This window comes from Homo sapiens, chromosome 19, assembly GCF_000001405.40.
Source record: "Homo sapiens chromosome 19, GRCh38.p14 Primary Assembly".
NCBI classification, from domain to species: Eukaryota; Metazoa; Chordata; class Mammalia; order Primates; family Hominidae; genus Homo; species Homo sapiens.
In genome coordinates, this window is record NC_000019.10 from 35,846,455 (window position 1) to 35,862,675 (window position 16,221).

At 55.8% G+C, this 16,221-nt stretch overlaps 2 protein-coding genes across 12 annotated transcripts in view, besides 4 other annotated features; one reads left to right on the forward strand and one right to left on the reverse strand.

The window, feature by feature from the left end:
• Nucleotides 1–6,050, reverse strand: part of NPHS1 (NPHS1 adhesion molecule, nephrin) — a 27,133-nt gene extending 21,083 nt beyond the window's left edge. Inside the window, exons 1-11 of the mRNA NM_004646.4 lie at nucleotides 5,326–6,050; nucleotides 5,003–5,218; nucleotides 4,808–4,930; nucleotides 4,507–4,635; nucleotides 3,910–3,991; nucleotides 3,096–3,199; nucleotides 2,782–2,909; nucleotides 2,522–2,693; nucleotides 2,183–2,340; nucleotides 1,799–1,943; nucleotides 1,587–1,711 (exon numbers count right to left, since the gene is read on the reverse strand). Of these exons, the coding sequence (NP_004637.1) occupies nucleotides 1,587–1,711; nucleotides 1,799–1,943; nucleotides 2,183–2,340; nucleotides 2,522–2,693; nucleotides 2,782–2,909; nucleotides 3,096–3,199; nucleotides 3,910–3,991; nucleotides 4,507–4,635; nucleotides 4,808–4,930; nucleotides 5,003–5,218; nucleotides 5,326–5,383 (1,440 nt within the window). The 5' untranslated portion in view covers nucleotides 5,384–6,050. The remainder of the gene's footprint in view (nucleotides 1–1,586; nucleotides 1,712–1,798; nucleotides 1,944–2,182; nucleotides 2,341–2,521; nucleotides 2,694–2,781; nucleotides 2,910–3,095; nucleotides 3,200–3,909; nucleotides 3,992–4,506; nucleotides 4,636–4,807; nucleotides 4,931–5,002; nucleotides 5,219–5,325) is intronic.
• Nucleotides 1,656–1,831: a silencer, noted in NCBI's record as "fragment chr19:36339012-36339187 (GRCh37/hg19 assembly coordinates)". NCBI's record gives its function as "represses an EF-1alpha promoter that drives an FKBP-Casp9 reporter gene in an ReSE screen in K562 erythroleukemia cells {active_cell/tissue: K562}" and the evidence as "EXISTENCE:reporter gene assay evidence [ECO:0000049][PMID:32094911]".
• Nucleotides 4,696–5,336: an enhancer, noted in NCBI's record as "H3K27ac-H3K4me1 hESC enhancer chr19:36342052-36342692 (GRCh37/hg19 assembly coordinates)". NCBI's record gives its function as "activates a minimal SCP1, AML or CMV promoter by ChIP-STARR-seq in primed H9 embryonic stem cells {active_cell/tissue: H9 hESC(primed)}" and the evidence as "EXISTENCE:reporter gene assay evidence [ECO:0000049][PMID:30033119]".
• Nucleotides 4,945–16,221, forward strand: part of KIRREL2 (kirre like nephrin family adhesion molecule 2) — a 15,738-nt gene continuing 4,461 nt past the window's right edge. For 2 of the 11 annotated variants that reach the window (NM_199180.4, NM_032123.7), the window contains exons 1-12: nucleotides 10,457–10,726; nucleotides 10,891–11,040; nucleotides 11,954–12,103; nucleotides 12,250–12,410; nucleotides 13,027–13,177; nucleotides 13,843–13,948; nucleotides 14,065–14,213; nucleotides 14,455–14,582; nucleotides 14,668–14,800; nucleotides 15,087–15,187; nucleotides 15,351–15,570; nucleotides 16,039–16,143. In NM_199180.4, coding sequence (NP_954649.3) covers nucleotides 10,666–10,726; nucleotides 10,891–11,040; nucleotides 11,954–12,103; nucleotides 12,250–12,410; nucleotides 13,027–13,177; nucleotides 13,843–13,948; nucleotides 14,065–14,213; nucleotides 14,455–14,582; nucleotides 14,668–14,800; nucleotides 15,087–15,187; nucleotides 15,351–15,570; nucleotides 16,039–16,143 — 1,615 coding nt within the window. In that variant the 5' untranslated portion in view covers nucleotides 10,457–10,665. Of the gene's footprint in view, nucleotides 5,270–10,456; nucleotides 10,727–10,890; nucleotides 11,041–11,953; nucleotides 12,104–12,249; nucleotides 12,411–13,026; nucleotides 13,178–13,842; nucleotides 13,949–14,064; nucleotides 14,214–14,454; nucleotides 14,583–14,667; nucleotides 14,801–15,086; nucleotides 15,188–15,350; nucleotides 15,571–16,038; nucleotides 16,144–16,221 lie in introns of those variants that run through there. The other 9 variants (NM_001329530.2, NM_199179.4, XM_011527362.2 and 6 more) reach the window with 8 other exon arrangements.
• Nucleotides 5,337–5,978: an enhancer, noted in NCBI's record as "H3K27ac-H3K4me1 hESC enhancer chr19:36342693-36343334 (GRCh37/hg19 assembly coordinates)". NCBI's record gives its function as "activates a minimal SCP1, AML or CMV promoter by ChIP-STARR-seq in primed H9 embryonic stem cells {active_cell/tissue: H9 hESC(primed)}" and the evidence as "EXISTENCE:reporter gene assay evidence [ECO:0000049][PMID:30033119]".
• Nucleotides 14,434–15,186: an enhancer, noted in NCBI's record as "H3K4me1 hESC enhancer chr19:36351790-36352542 (GRCh37/hg19 assembly coordinates)". NCBI's record gives its function as "activates a minimal SCP1, AML or CMV promoter by ChIP-STARR-seq in naive H9 embryonic stem cells {active_cell/tissue: H9 hESC(naive)}" and the evidence as "EXISTENCE:reporter gene assay evidence [ECO:0000049][PMID:30033119]".

The window sequence follows — 16,221 nt, forward strand, 5'->3', positions numbered from 1 at the left end:
CACACCCAACTCCTGCTCTGCCTCTGCAGCCACCTGCAGGCTCTCAGCGCACTCCTCAAAATCTATTTCTGCTGTGTTTACCCAACACCACCTGCAGGAAACTCCCTTGAAATTCCCAGGCCTTTCCCAGAGTTCCTCAGTTCCTTTTCTTAAAATTCCTGCTGTCCCCAAAGATTTCCTTTGAAATTTTCCTTAATTCCAGTGTCTTTCCATAGATTACTTCCTTTTTTTATTATTGCTGCTGCACAAATTAAACTTTCCATAGATTTCTGAATCTTTCCCGATATTATAATATCTTATGATCCCAGTCTTTTAACAGATTCCTTTGTATTGCCCAGATTCTCAGCACTTCCCCAGAATTCCATCCAATTAAAATAAAATTCCATTGTCATTTCTATAATTTCTAGTCTTCCCCCCAAAGTTTTCAACTAGCTCCCTAATTCCCAGGATTCTCCTAGAATTCTATTAGGCTTCTCTTTCATTTTAATGAAATTTCATTTTCTTGCCTCCAAATCCCAAGAGTTCAGTTTAATACTAATGAATTTCCGATAGTCTGTGGAATTACTAGCTTTTCTCCAAATTTTCTTTTCTTTTCTTTTCTTTTTTTTTGAGACGGAGTCTCCCTCTGTCACCCAGGCTGGAGTGCAGTGGCACGATCTCGGCTCACTGCAAGCTCCGCCTCCCGGGTTCACGCCATTCTCCTGCCTCAGCCTCCCGAGTAGCTGGGACTACAGGCACCTGCCACCACGCCTGGCTAATTTTTTGTATTTTTAGTAGAGACGGAGTTTCACCGTGTTAGCCAGGATGGTCTCGATCTCCTCACCTCGTGATCCGCCCGCCTCAGCCTCCCAAAGTGCTGGGATTACAGGCGTGAGCCACTGTGCCCAGCCTTTTTTTTTTTTTTTTTTTTTTTTTTTGAGACGGAGTTTCGGTCTCGTTGCCCAGACTGGAGTGCAGTGGCACAACCTCGGCTCACCACAACCTGGGCCTCCCGGATTCAAGCAATTCTCCAGCCTCAGCCTCTCCAGTAGCTGGGATTACAGGCCCCCGCCACCATGCCCAGCTAATTTTTTGTATTTTTAGTAGAGACAGGGTTTCTCCATGTTGGTCAGGCTGGTCTCTAACTCCCGACTTCAGGTGATCCGTCTACCTCGGCCTCCTAAAGTGCTTGGATTACAGGCGTGAGCCACTGTGCCCAGCCAAATTTTACAGCATTGTTTTTTTTTTTTTTCTGGGATTCAAGTCTTTCCCTAAAATTCCTGACATTTCACCTGAATTCTGAGGGTTTTCACTAGAATTTTCTTTAATTTTAATGAAATTACCTTTTCTCTAGAATGCCTAATCTTGATTCAGAATTCCAATTTTTATCCTAAAATTCTCACTGTTTCCCCAGAATTTTCCTAGGATTCCATTTAATTCTCATAGCATTTGTGTCTTTCCTGATTCCCTGCCAAACCTCAGAATCTTTAGTACTTTTCAAGAAATTTAATCTTTTTCCAAGATTGCCCAAGATTCTGAAGGAGAGAAGGGGCCTGGTCCTTCCCCCACATTCCTGGCCACCCCCATAGCCCTGGCGTGGCACCAACCTTGTACCACATGAGGGAGGGCTCTGGGTTGCCCCCGATAGCCAAACACACCAGCCTCACCCGGGTCCCAGCCCGGAGCTTCTGGCCCTCTGGGGGACCCTCAATCCACAGTTTCTGGGCGGGATCTGGCGGGGAGAGGAAGGAAGAATGACTTTTTCTCTGTGCTGGGTCCTGAGGCTTGGGGGCATTGCTGGGCCAGGGCAGGGGCTCACATTTTACGTTCAGGATGAGCGACTTCTTGAAGGTCTCCTTGGTGAAGGCTTCACTGAAGGCCTCACATGTGAGGGTCAGACCGTTGTCCTCCCGCCGCGCCAGGAATGTCAGGTTGGACATGGAGATGTGACCGCCATGCAGTCCCTGGCAGGGAGTGAGCTTCAGACGTGGGGACTGCAGCACCCCTATCCATCGTGCTAGAGGCCTGAGTCCATCCCAGTCCCCAGCAGGGACACAGGAGACATCTCTACCTCCCCCTCTGTTGGACCCATGGTCCTCAAGGAGAAAGCCCCCCAGGCTGCTGGACCCACCCCTTCCCTATCCACGAGTCATGCCCTCAGCCCCCTCCATGCTCAGACCCAGGAGCCTGGCCCCCGCCTCACATCCATGACTGTCTCCTCCATGGGCAGCAGCTGCCGCCAGCCCAGCCACCATCGTAGCAGAACCCGCGGGCGACTGGACTTGCTGACACAGGAGAGTGTCACGTTCTTGTTCTCAGTCTGGGATGCAGATCCCAAGATAATAATGGCACTAGGGGGAACTGCAGGGACAGAGAAGGAAGACACTAAGCTGGGCTGGATTTCTCACAGACCAGCCCAGACAGAACAGGACTGGAGACAGATGCTGAGATCTTTGGCATCCAGTAGGCATAATTTGGGGGCACACACAGATGGTTCTCTGAGGCACAGACCGACAGGGGGGCAGCTGGCACCAGGACTCACAGGTGACCTGCAGTGTGATGCCGTGCTCCTGGGTCCCTGCAGACACGCTGTTGTGGGCCTCGCAGCTGAGCTGCGCTCCATGGTCTTCTGGCCTCACGGTCATCACCAGCACACTGCGGGCCACCGCCTGGGTGTGCTCTGTGCCCCACGCTGTGGACACCGGCTGGCCATTCTGGAGACAGGGACAGGCCTGGGCCAGCTCAGGACTGGCTCCCAGACCCCACTGTCCCCCCATTCCCCATGCCCGCGTTTGCCCTCACCTTCAGCCACTGCAGTGTGGCTAAGGGATTACCCCCTCGGGCCACGCACGGCAGCTCCAAGCTCTGTCCTGCCCGCACGTGCCCCTCATCCAGGCCTGGCCACTCGATGACAGGGGGTCCTGGAGGGACTGGGGGATATCAGTCACTCAGTGGGCCTGGAGTAGCCCATCCACTCTTTCCAGGCCCCACAACCTGCCTTTGAACCCCCATGTTTCTCTGAGTGCCTGAATTTCCATAATCCCTGTGATCCCCCCACACCCCCCAGTGCCTGCTCCCCATCCTCAGCGCCCTAGTTGGCCCAGTTCTCCACTTACACAGAACATTCACGGTGAATGAGGCCTTGATGGGGGCCTCCAGTGCTGGGCTAGACGCCTCACAGACCAGCAACTGCCTATTATCTGAGCTCCGGGGTGTCACCCTGGGATGAGAAGTCAGGGTTATAGAGTCAGAGTCATCATCTGAAATTTGGGGAGTCAGGGAGAAGAGGTGGGGATGTCACCTCTGGTCCCCACACCTGGTCTAAGTCCCCATGCTGATCTCCTCTGGGATCCAGGGTTCCATGGGAGAGATTTTGGGGGTGAACAGTGAGAATTGGAGCCTAGAGAGCCCCACATCTGACCAAAACTTTAGTGCTTGGGACTCTAGAACTGAGGTTCCCATGAAGTTTTTTTGTTTGTTTATTTGTTTGTTTGTCTTTTGAGACAGAATCTGGCTCTATCACCCAGGCTGGAGTGCAGTGGTACAATCTCAGCTCACTGCAACCTCCACTTCTTGGGTTCAAGTGATTCTCCTGCCTCAGCCCCCTGAGGAGCTGGGAGTACAGGCATGCGCCACCACACCCGGCTAATTTTTGTATTTTTAGTGAAAACAGGGTTTCACCATGTTGACCCAGCTGATCTTGAACTCCTGACCTCAGGTGATCCGCCCACCTCAGCCTCCCAAAGTGCTGGGATTACAGGCATGAGCCACCACCTCTGTTCCCCATGAAGAAGCTTTGAGAGTCAGGATGAAGAATTGGGTCCCAGATGTTCATACCTAGCCCAAGCTTCATGCTTGCATCCCTGGGGTCTGGGGTTCCCATGGGGAAAATTAGGGGTCAAGGTTGGGGGGTTGTTTCAGTTTCCACACCTGGCTGTGGCCTCCACAGTGAAGAGTTTCTGCTGGGAGCCCTCGTTCACGTTTGCAGAGATGTCAGATATTGTCTGTCCACCTTGGGGCAGCAAGAGGGCTAGAGGGGTTCCAGGCTCCCCGCAAGATAGATTCTGGGGAGCATGGCCTGGAAGTCCTCAGGGTGGGTGCGATGCCCCCTCCCTCCTCGTTCTAGAGGAAAAGGGCCTGGGGCAGAGCTGCATCCCCTCCCGACTTTCTGGACTGCCTGAATGCCGCAGTCTTCAGTGCTGGGTCCTGGGCCTCCCCGCTCTTCTCAACTCCTTGCTGGGTTGTACCATGCACCCTATCCCTCAGCTTCTCATGTCTGCACCAGCGCTACTGCCCATATTTCTATCTGGGCCTCAGCCTTGTGCTGGTTGCTGCCGCCCTCGATGTGCCCTCGCATCCACTGGGTCCCACACTGGCCTCAGCATCTCCCCACACCTTCTCCTGGGTCCCCATCCCAGGGATGACATCTTTTCTGGGGCCCTTAGAAGGGTACTGGTCAGGAACACACACCCTTCCCACTCCAGAGGCTTCATGCTGCCCCCTGCCACCCAGTTCACCCACACTCACTCAGGAGAATGGTGATGTCAGGTGCTGGCTTCGCGTCCCCAGACACACAGTTGACCACGTACTCCTGCCCAGCTACCCAGGTGACCATGGTGCCTGCCTCTGGGGTCAGCAGGAGCAGCTTGGGAGGAACTGGTGAGAGAAGGGTCTGGGGTAAGCTTCCAGCACTGAGAAGGACTTGAAGATTGGAGTTCGGTACCCAGAGTCTGGGAGAGGAGAGGCTGGGGGCTTGGACTTCCGGGTTGCGGGGTAGGGGAGGGCTTGAAGCCCAGACTCATGGGTCCTGGGCGTCTCTCACCCATACCCAGGATGGAGAGGATCACTCTGGGAGACACGAGCTCGGGCCCCATCTCAGAGCGGCCGACCTGGCACTCATACTCCGCGTCATCGCTGAGGTCACAGGCCTCGATGTGCAGGTGGAATTCACCTGCAGGGGGAGCCGGAAGTCAGGGCCGCAGCTTCCGCTGGTGGCTGAGGGTCTCAGGCTCTGATCCCTTACCTCTAGCAGGGTCCCCTTCCAGGCGGTACCTCGGGAAGCCTGGGATCCTGGGGTCGGGGCCCAGGAGCAGCCCATCTTTGGCCCATTGCACCGCACTGCCAGGGGTGCTGACCCCACAACGCAGCTCCACTGAGGCCCCCTCCACCACCGTCAGGTTTTCAGGCAGGGCCCAGAAGCCCCGGGGAACGGAGGCAGGAATCGCCAACTGCGCCAGGCCTGAGGACACAGCGCGGTGCAAGGAAAGGGCAGAGGGTTTGTCTAGGGAAGGTAAGTGGGAAATGGGGGCCACTTGGCGCTGGGTACAAGGCTGGGATCCCACTCACCTTCAGTCAGCAGCCCCAGGAGCAGGAGAGAAGCCCTGAGCGTCGTCCCCAGGGCCATCACAGGTCCCCCTACTGTGACCCCCACAGCGCCCGCTGCCAGCCACCTGCGTCTGTCTGGCTTTCTCTGGGTCCCTCTCTGTGTGTCTCTGCCACCTGCTTTTCTTTTTTATCTCTTTCCGTTACTCTCCTCCCTTTCTCGTTTTCCTCTTCCCCTCTTCCCTGTGAGTATCTCTCTCTGTCTTGCTCTCAGTCTCAATCTCTGAGTCTCTTTCTCTGTCTCTTTAAAAAAACTTTTTTTTCTTTTTTCTTTTTTTTTTCTTTTTTTTTTTTTTAGAGACGGGGTCTCACTATGTTGGCCAGGTTGATCTCAGACTCTTTCCTTCAAGCCATCCTCCCACCTTGGCCTCCCCAAGTGTTGGGATTACAGGCGTGAGCCACTGCGCCCAGTCTCTTTATCTTTCCATCTTTCTCTCCTTGTCTAAGCCGTTCTCTCTCCTTTTGTCTCTGTCTCTTCCTCTCTCTCTGTCTCTCTCTCTCTCTCTCTCTCAATCTCTATCTTCTCTCCTGCCACCCCTCACTCCTGCTCCTTGTCTCACTACTCACAGCCTTTCAAGAAGGACCTGCAGCCCAGAGTCCAGCAGGCCAGGAGCCTAGGAGAGCGATGAGGCTGATGCAGGCACTGGCAGAGTCAGCCCTGCTCTCTGACCCAGCTTGAGCTCATTCTCACAGTGCAACCTCCCCCAGGTACCTTCCAGAGCCCCCAGCTCTGGCCTCTGCCCAGCAGGCTCCTCCCAGCTGGCCCAGCTGGAGCATAAAATCCCCTGTCAGCACATGCCAGGCGCGTTCCTCGGTGCCTCCCCAGCCTCCGTGACCCCAGGGCCTGGCTTAGGCTGGGAAGATGGGAGAAGTCAGATCAAGGTGGTCTCCCAGCTCAGCAGGGGAGCAGCCAGCTGGGCCCCCAGCTCTTCCTTGCCCTGATACATGACCTTGGCAAGTCTCTTTCTTTCTTTCTTTCTTTTCTTGAGATAGTCTTGCTCTGTTGCTCAGGCTGGAGTGCAGTGGCATCTCGGCTCACTGCAACTTCCACCTCCCATGGCTTGAACCTCCCAGGTTCAAGTAATTCTCCCACCTCTGTCTCCCAAGTAGCTGGTGCTACAGGTATATAGCACCATGCCTGGCTAATTTTTGTATTTTTACTAGAGACGGGGTTTCATCATGTTGGCCACGCTGGTCTCGAACTCCTGACCTCAGGTGATCCATCTGCCTCAGCCTCCCAAAATGCTGGGATTACAGACATGAGCCACCGCACCTGGCCTCCCTTCCTTTTTTAGTAGACATCAGTGCCTAAATGATGTCAGGGATCTCTGCTGGGGAGGATGCAAGAGTGAGTGTGACAGGCTGGGAGAGTGTGGGAGAGAGGGAAGATATGCATGTGTGTACGTGGGTGTGAGAGTGGGGAAGGTTAGAGTGAACTGCGATCTGTAATAAGCATGTGGAGAGCGTGTGTGTGACAGTGTCTTACGTGGGAGTGCACAGGGTGTGGGCGGGAGTAAAAGGCAGAGTCCAATTCCACCGGCCCCCAGTGTGGGTGCAGTGTGAGCCCAAAGTGGGCGCCCTTTGGCAAGGACTGCATGAGCTTTCTTCTCCCTCTTTTTCTTGCCCTCTCTCCCATCTCTTCTTTCCTTCTCCATGTCTCTCTCTCTCCCTCCCTCTATCTATCTTGATTTATCTTTCTTTCTTTTGAGATGGAATCTTGCTCTGTTGCCCAGGCTGGAGGGCAGTGGCATGATCTTGGTTCATTGCAGCCTCAACTTCCTGGGCTCAGGTGATCCTCCTGCCTCAGCCTCCTGAATAGCTGGGACTACAGGTGCACACCACCACTCCAGCTAATTTTTTAAAATTTGTTTGTAGAGACAGGGTCTTTCTCTATTGCCCAGGCTGGAGTGCAGTGGTGTGATCATGGCTCATTGAAGCCTCAAACCTCCTAGGCTCAAGTGTTCTTTCTGCCTCAGCCTCCTGAGTAGCTGGGACTACAGGCCCGCATCACCACTCTGGCTATTTTTTTTTTTTTTTTTTTTTTTTTGAGAGGGAGTCTTGCTCTGTCACCCAGGCTGGAGTGCAATGGTGCGATGTTGGCTCACTGTAACCTCCGCCTCCCAGGTCCAAGCGATTCTCCTGCCTCAGCCTCCTGAGTAGCTGGGAATACAGGCATTGACCACCACACCCAGCTAATTTTTGTATTTTTAGTAGAGACGGGGTTTCGCCATGTTGGCCAGGCAGGTCTCGAACTCCTGACCTCAGGTAACCCACCTGCCTTGGCCCCCCAAAGTGCTGGGATTACAGGTGGGAGCCGCTGCACCCCGCCACTTGGCTAATTTTTTTTAAATGTTTTTGCAGAGACAGAGTCTTGCTATATTGCCCAGGCTTGTCTGGAACTCCTGGGCTCAAGCAATCCTCCCATCTCGGCCTCCCAAAGTACTAGGATTACAGGCATGAGCCACCGCACCTGGCCCTTGATTTATCTTTCTTTTTTTTCTTTTTTCTCTTTTTTCTTTTTTTGAGATGGAGTTTCACTCTTGTTGCCCAGACTGGAGTGTAATAGTGTGATCTCGGCTCACTGCAACCTCTGCCTCCCGGGTTCAGGCGATTCTCCTGCCTCAGCCTCCCTAGTAGCTGGGATTACAGGCATGCGCCACCACGCCTGGCTAATTTTTTGTATTTTTAGTAAAGACGGGGTTTCTCCATGTTGATCAGGCTGGTCTCGAACTCCTGACCTCAGGTGATCAGCCTGACTCGGCCTCCCAAAGTGCTGGGATTGCAGGCGTGAGTCATTGTGCCCAGCTGATTTATCTTTCTATCTTTCTCCATCTGTTTGAGACTCTCTCGCTCTCTATATTAAGTTGTTAAATCTCAGTCAATCTTTATTTCACTGTGTCTCTCCATCTCTATATGTCTCTGTTATTCTGTTTCTCTGTCTCTGTTCTCACCTCTGTCGCTCCCCTCACCCCACAGTCTGTCTCACACACACCAGGAGCTCCATAAATATTTGTTCTCAGCCACACTCTGACCACGCCTCTTTCTCTTATGTGTCTCTCCATCTCCGAGTGGCTCTGCTCATCACATCCCTGGATTTTATAACCATATGCTGGTGGGCCTGCCCTCCCCGCGTGCACATACACTTGCCTGGGATAAGCTTCTTCTGCCTGCTTATCTCCTGCGGGAATTGGAAATGCTAGTTTTCTCCCTACCTCCCCAAGACCCCCGCCAATATCGTTCCCAGGAACAAGATGAGGCATCTGGCCTCAGCCCCCAGCTTCATCCTCGATGCTGGACTTCCATCTTCCCTCACATGCTTGACTCCTTGCCCTCCTCCCACCTCCCCTCTCCCAACTGCTCTCTACACCCCCTGGGAAATGGGCTGGATGCCGAGCTGGGGGAGTGGCTCTGTCCTGGGGGCCCTCGCCAGATGGTGTCCCTAGGTGCCAGAGCGTGGAGCTGTCCCTTGCTGGGGCCTTTAATAAGCACAAACCTTCCACCCTCCACCTTGGCTGTTTTCCTTCTCTGCATGCTCCTGGGACCTTGGGCTCTCCATCTTTCCATGTCCGTAGCCCCAGAGAGCCAGGAAGGGGAAGCGGCGTCAAGTGCCTGGAAAAACAGCCCCATGACTTGAGTTCCTCCCTAAGACTCAGGAGTTCCAGCCCCATGTCCATCCTATTTCAAAATCCAGGCACTAGATAAGCCACACAGAAGCCGGGAGTGTAGGCCCCCAGATCCCTCCCCTCTCAGACCCTGGGGTCTCAGTCCCTTCTCTCCAAGGACTCGGGAATTTGGGCCTCTGATCCTCCTGGCCACACTACCCACCCCCGCACCTCCCCATACACACACACACACACACACACACACACACACACACACACACACACACACATACACACAGGACTTAGGACAGATGTTCACGGTCTGATTTCCAAATCCTCCTGGGCCTGTGTGGGGGTGGGGAGAGATTGGCAGATAGATCCACCGACTCTTAAGACTTAAGACCAGATATTCTGACCCCTGTCACCCTCTTCCAAGTGCACCATGCACTTGAGTGCACCTTGAGTCTCCAGCCTCTCAAGGAACCGGGAGATCAGGCCATCAGCGTCTCAGCCAGCAAAGGCCTGAACCACCAGTCCCTTATAACCCTGTAAGTCCAACCCCCACTCCCAACCCCACTCCCCCATTTAGGGACACGGAGTCTGAGCCTAAGAACAGTGGAGAATCTGAATGTGGACCCTCCAGTTCTTACAGGTCCAGGAATGTCAGATCAGGGTCCCAGCCCCCCAGCCCTCCTTCAGGCTGCTCGGGGTCCCTCCCACCTGCTCGGCCAGCTGCGCAGCGTGGGAACGCCCCAGCTGGGCTGCATGGAGCCGTCAGGACAAGCTGCGCGGTTCCCAGCCTCCCTGCCTGCCCCGGCCCGGCACCGCCGCCTCCCAGCCGTCGCCGGGCAACCAGGCCGAGGGGCCCGGCCGGCCGAGTGGGGAGAGGGGTTGGGCTGGGACTGCGGGGTCCTGGGAAAGGAGGGGCCGAGGGCCTGGATTCCTGGGTCTTAGGACGTGCTGTAGTTTGCAGCAATAACAAGGGAACAGAGGGATATTTTGAGGAGGGGTTTTGAGGCTGGGGGAGTCGAGGTAGGGGTCCCAACTGTCCCCCAGGTATCGGTGTGCCCTCTTCCCGACACGCAGGCCCGGGGGAGCCCCGGACCCCGCATCCCCCAGGGCGCGGAAACTGGCGAGGCCCCAGGAGCTCCCATTTATAGCTCAGTTTCCACTGAGCGCAGTCCCTCTAGGACCTGGGCTGAGCAAGTTTCTTCCACTCTCTCCCTTCCCTCCTCCTCACCCCTTGCCTGCCCCTCAACCCCGGCAGGGCGCAGGTGTCCAACCCAGCCGGGACCCCCTCCCTCCTCGAACCCAGGTGTTCCGGCTCCCAGACCCCAATTGAGCTGGGGGCGCCCACCCGCCGGGGGATCCCGCCCTGCGTCCCCCATTCATCCGCGTCTCAGCCGCGGGAGTTTCTCAACGGGAAGAGGGCGGAGCTCCCGGGGGGCGGACCCGGGCGGGGCGAGCGGGATCGGGCCCTCTTGGGGTCTCCCAGAGACCCAGGCCGCGGAACTGGCAGGCGTTTCAGAGCGTCAGAGGCTGCGGATGAGCAGACTTGGAGGACTCCAGGCCAGAGACTAGGCTGGGCGAAGAGTCGAGCGTGAAGGGGGCTCCGGGCCAGGGTGACAGGAGGCGTGCTTGAGAGGAAGAAGTTGACGGGAAGGCCAGTGCGACGGCAAATCTCGTGAACCTTGGGGGACGAATGCTCAGGATGCGGGTCCCCGCCCTCCTCGTCCTCCTCTTCTGCTTCAGAGGGAGAGCAGGTACCGCACGAGGGGAGCGGAGGAATATGGGGTGGGGGTGGGGAGTTGCTTGCGGGCTGCCTCTTCACTAGCGAGAAGGGAGCTGGGGGCTGGGACTCCTGGGTCCTGAATGAGGAGGCCCCTGAAGGTGCTAAGCTCAGCCCTGCTGCCCCGAACTCTCCTAGGCCCGTCGCCCCATTTCCTGCAACAGCCAGAGGACCTGGTGGTGCTGCTGGGGGAGGAAGCCCGGCTGCCGTGTGCTCTGGGCGCCTACTGGGGGCTAGTTCAGTGGACTAAGAGTGGGCTGGCCCTAGGGGGCCAAAGGGACCTACCAGGTAAGAGTGTTCTCTCCACGCTGGGACGGGCTGGCTAGGGGGAGAGTTGCTGGGCTCGGCTGTACCTGCAGTTTCTATTTTGACATTTTCAAGTTTGGGAAATTGATGGGCTCGGGTAAACATTTAGGAGTCCTGATTTTTGAGCTGCTTCTTTGGGGGTGACCCACGGAGTTTGGGAATTATTATGTTATTGCAAAATAGTACATAGGCCAGGTGCAGTGGCTCACGCCTGTAATCCCAACGCTTTGGGAGGTTGAGGCCAGAGGATCGCTTGAAACCAGGAGTTTGAGACCAGCCTGGGCAACATAACAAGACCTTATCTCTACACAAATGTATATATATATTTTAAACAAATTAGCCGGGTATGGTGGTGTGCATCTATAGTCCCAGTTACTCAGGAGGCTTAGGTGGTAGGATTGCTTGAGCCTAGGAGTTCAAGGCTGCAGTGAGCCATGATCAAGCCACTGCACTTCAGGCAATGGTGAGACCCTGTCTCAAAAAAAAAAAAAAAAGAGAACATAAATGCAAAAAAGTACAGTAAATATAAATGGAAGATTTACCAAATAAAATAGACACACACAGCCAATACCCAAGTCCATTGCTAGCTCCCCAGAAGACCCCGTGTTCCTTTCCCCTATCATAGCCCCCTCCCCCTCACTCCAGAAGTAGTATCTAACCTAATTTTTATGGCAATCATTTTCTTGCTTTCCTTCCTGACTTTATTACCCCTAAGTTTGCAGTGACTCTGGGTTGGGAGGGAGTTAGAGTCTCTCTGGGCCCAGTACACACTTTTTAATAGTGTCTTACCACCAAATGTGTGGGCCAGTTTTCTGGTGGAGGATGTCTGGGGATGGAGGCCTGAGGCCAGGATTTCAGAACCATGGTGTGCTGACTGCCTTCTCCCTGACTCCAGGGTGGTCCCGGTACTGGATATCAGGGAATGCAGCCAATGGCCAGCATGACCTCCACATTAGGCCCGTGGAGCTAGAGGATGAAGCATCATATGAATGTCAGGCTACACAAGCAGGCCTCCGCTCCAGACCAGCCCAACTGCACGTGCTGGGTAAGGACCTCGCCCACTTGTCCCCTGGGAGCCCAAGAGGGCAGCCCGTACTAGCTGTGAGTAGCAGAGCCCAGGGAGCCCAGGGGCATGGTCAATTGGAGCTGAGAAGATCAGGATCCATCTCTGACCCCAAATCCACCTTGCAGTCCCCCCAGAAGCCCCCCAGGTGCTGGGCGGCCCCTCTGTGTCTCTGGTTGCTGGAGTTCCTGCGAACCTGACATGTCGGAGCCGTGGGGATGCCCGCCCTACCCCTGAATTGCTGTGGTTCCGAGATGGGGTCCTGTTGGATGGAGCCACCTTCCATCAGGTCAGGTCCAAATTCCTGTGCTAGCCTTTGCCCATTGAGGGAAACTTGGGTTACACTCTGACCACAGGCTCATCCAGAAGAGAAGAAGACATGGGAGGGCAGAGGTTCATGGGTTTGGACTCTTGAAATATGATGCAGGGTAAAGATTCTAGGGCCAGACTACCTGGGTTCAAATTATGTCTCAGCCACTTGCTAGTTGATTGATCTTGAGTAAGTTAGTTAACCTCTCTGTGCCTCAGTTGCCTTATCTATACAATCAGGATAATAGTAGCATGCATGTCATAGGGTATTGTGAGAATTAAATAAATAAATACCTATAAATGCCCAGAAGAGTGACCAATACATAGTGAGCACTATATAAGTAAGGCAAGCTTGTCCAACCTGCGGCCCATGGGCTGCATGCAGCCCAGGATGGCTTTGAATGTGGCCCACCACAAATTCATAAACTTTCTTAAAACATTATGAGACTTTTTTGTAATTTTTTAGCTCATCAGCTATCATTAGTGTTAGTATGTGTGGCCTAAGACAATTCTTCTTCCAATGTGGCCCAGGAAAGCCAAAAGATTGGACACCCCTGATGGGTAGATGGCATTATTATTCTTATCCTTCCCTCCAGACCCTGCTGAAGGAAGGGACCCCTGGGTCAGTGGAGAGCACCTTAACCCTGACCCCTTTCAGCCATGATGATGGAGCCACCTTTGTCTGCCGGGCCCGGAGCCAGGCCCTGCCCACAGGAAGAGACACAGCTATCACACTGAGCCTGCAGTGTGAGTGCAGCTGGCCCTGGGAAAGAGGGGTGTGGGGCCCTGACTCCTGGGTATGAGGAAGGAGGGGACTGTGGCCCTTGGGGAATGAGGAAACTGGAGCCTGGACTCCTGGATCTAAGATAGCAGGAGAGGGCTGGGTATGGTAGCTCACGCCTGTACTCACAGAACTTTGGGAGGTCGAGGCAGGCGGATCATCTAAGATCAGGAGTTCGAGACCAGTCTGGCTAACATGTCGAAACCCCGTCTCTACTAAAAATACAAAAATTTGCCGGGCGTGGTAGCACACACTTGTAATTCCAGCTACCTGGGAGGCTGAGGCAGGAGAATCACTTGTACCCGGGAGGCAGATGTTGCGGTGAGCCGAGATCATGCCACTCAGCAGCAGAGTGAGACTCCGAGCAGGAGAGGACAGACAGCTGGGGTCCCTGGGGAAAGAGAAAGCTGGGCCTTGACTCTCACATCGGGGAGACTAGGAGAGGGCAGAAGGCTGGCACATTGAGGTAACTGGGGAAATTGGGAACTGAAAGCCCAGACTCCTGGCTCAAAGGGAGAAGGGGATTAGGGGCCCAGACTCCTGGGATGGAGGAACCAGGGACTGGACACCTAGGCCAGTGACGGAGGTGTTCCTGGTCCTTGCCCATCTGACCATTGTCCCACCCTCACAGACCCCCCAGAGGTGACTCTGTCTGCTTCGCCACACACTGTGCAGGAGGGAGAGAAGGTCATTTTCCTGTGCCAGGCCACAGCCCAGCCTCCTGTCACAGGCTACAGGTGAGGACGAAGACCCACCTCTCCCCAGCCCCAAGAGTGAGCTTGGGAAGGGCTGGGACCTGAGTAGGTGTGCCAGAGAGGCCAGGACAACGTTAACAGCGCCACCATTTCCTCAGGTGGGCAAAAGGGGGCTCTCCGGTGCTCGGGGCCCGCGGGCCAAGGTTAGAGGTCGTGGCAGACGCCTCGTTCCTGACTGAGCCCGTGTCCTGCGAGGTCAGCAACGCCGTGGGTAGCGCCAACCGCAGTACTGCGCTGGATGTGCTGTGTGAGCTGGGGCCGGCCTGTGGGTGTGGTCAAAGGTGGCCGTGGCTTTCAGGGCTGTTGAGGGTCGGGGCCTGGAGGGGCGGGGCCGGGAGAGCGAGCGTGGGGTATTAGGAGGAGGAGAGTGTGGAGCTGGGGCATATTCTTGCGCCCTAGAGGGTGTGGTGTTTCTGTGGGGCTGGCTGATCCCAGGTCAGTGGCTGCATTCCGCCCCGGCCATGTGACCCCTAGTCTCTTTCGTCCAGTTGGGCCGATTCTGCAGGCAAAGCCGGAGCCCGTGTCCGTGGACGTGGGGGAAGACGCTTCCTTCAGCTGCGCCTGGCGCGGGAACCCGCTTCCACGGGTAACCTGGACCCGCCGCGGTGGCGCGCAGGTACAGCCCTAAATCTGAGGCGGTGGCTGGAGGGGGACCAGGCTTCCTTACAAATCCGGCTTCTGACGCCCCTTCCCTGTCGCAGGTGCTGGGCTCTGGAGCCACACTGCGTCTTCCGTCGGTGGGGCCCGAGGACGCAGGCGACTATGTGTGCAGAGCTGAGGCTGGGCTATCGGGCCTGCGGGGCGGCGCCGCGGAGGCTCGGCTGACTGTGAACGGTGAGAAGGCGGGGCTTCCTAGGGGACCTGGCCCGTCCTGGGATAGGGAGCGGACAGAGGGGGCAAGGGCTAATGCAGTGGGAGTGGCCTGGAAGGAGCTTTACACCCAGCGGGGGCTGGAGACCGGACCTATTGAAGGCGAGGCTTTTAGGAGAATCGGAGTTTGGAGGCGGCGTGGCCTGATTGATTGAGGTTAGCGGAGAGTGCGCTGGACAGACCCGGCTTTGTTACAGCCTTTGGGGAGGGCAAGACCTCTCCTCTGAGTGACCTACAGTCTCCATCCCAGCTCCCCCAGTAGTGACCGCCCTGCACTCTGCGCCTGCCTTCCTGAGGGGCCCTGCTCGCCTCCAGTGTCTGGTTTTCGCCTCTCCCGCCCCAGATGCCGTGGTAAGGAAATGTCACTCCTCCCGTGACCCATCCAGCCGTGATCCCTGACCTCCCACCTGGCCCCCCGAAACTACTGTGACCATTTCTGACTTCCCAGACATCCCTCCTGCTTCTTCCTCCCCTCCTCAGTCTCCTCCGTGTCCTCCCTCTTTTGTGCCCCCAGGTCTGGTCTTGGGATGAGGGCTTCCTGGAGGCGGGGTCGCAGGGCCGGTTCCTGGTGGAGACATTCCCTGCCCCAGAGAGCCGCGGGGGACTGGGTCCGGGCCTGATCTCTGTGCTACACATTTCGGGGACCCAGGAGTCTGACTTTAGCAGGAGCTTTAACTGCAGTGCCCGGAACCGGCTGGGCGAGGGAGGTGCCCAGGCCAGCCTGGGCCGTAGAGGTGAGACCCCAGCCCGAAGACCCCAAATCTGGAGAGTCTAAACCCCACAAACGCAGGGATCCCCCAGCCGAGGGCTGCAAAACCTCATACCCTCAAATGCAGAGGAGACCTCCAAACCTCGGGAGTCTCAAAACTGTGGGCTCATTGATTCCCAAGACACCCCTCAACCACAAATGCCTTCACATTCTGAATCCTAAACTGAGAGACTCCTCACACCTAGGGGCCCCAAAAAGGGAAACTCCAATGATTGCAAAGCAAATTGCAAAGTAAAGGACCCCTCAAATTCTAAGACTCCCTAAAGCCAGGGAGTTTAAACTCACTCTCAAACTTGGGGAACCCCAAATTCAAGGGCCTTTGAATCTTCAAATGTGCGACCTTTTGAACCCAGGAATCCCAAACTCAATCCCTGAGCCCCCGCTTCCTGGTTCCCCCTCAGCCTTCTCAGGATGTCCCCTCTGCTCCCTGCAGACTTGCTGCCCACTGTGCGGATAGTGGCCGGAGTGGCCGCTGCCACCACAACTCTCCTTATGGTCATCACTGGGGTGGCCCTCTGCTGCTGGCGCCACAGCAAGGGTTAGTGCCTGAGCCCCGCCCCGGCTCCCGAGGCCCCAGCCCCACACGCGCCCTGCCTGCCCAGTGACCTGACCTGGC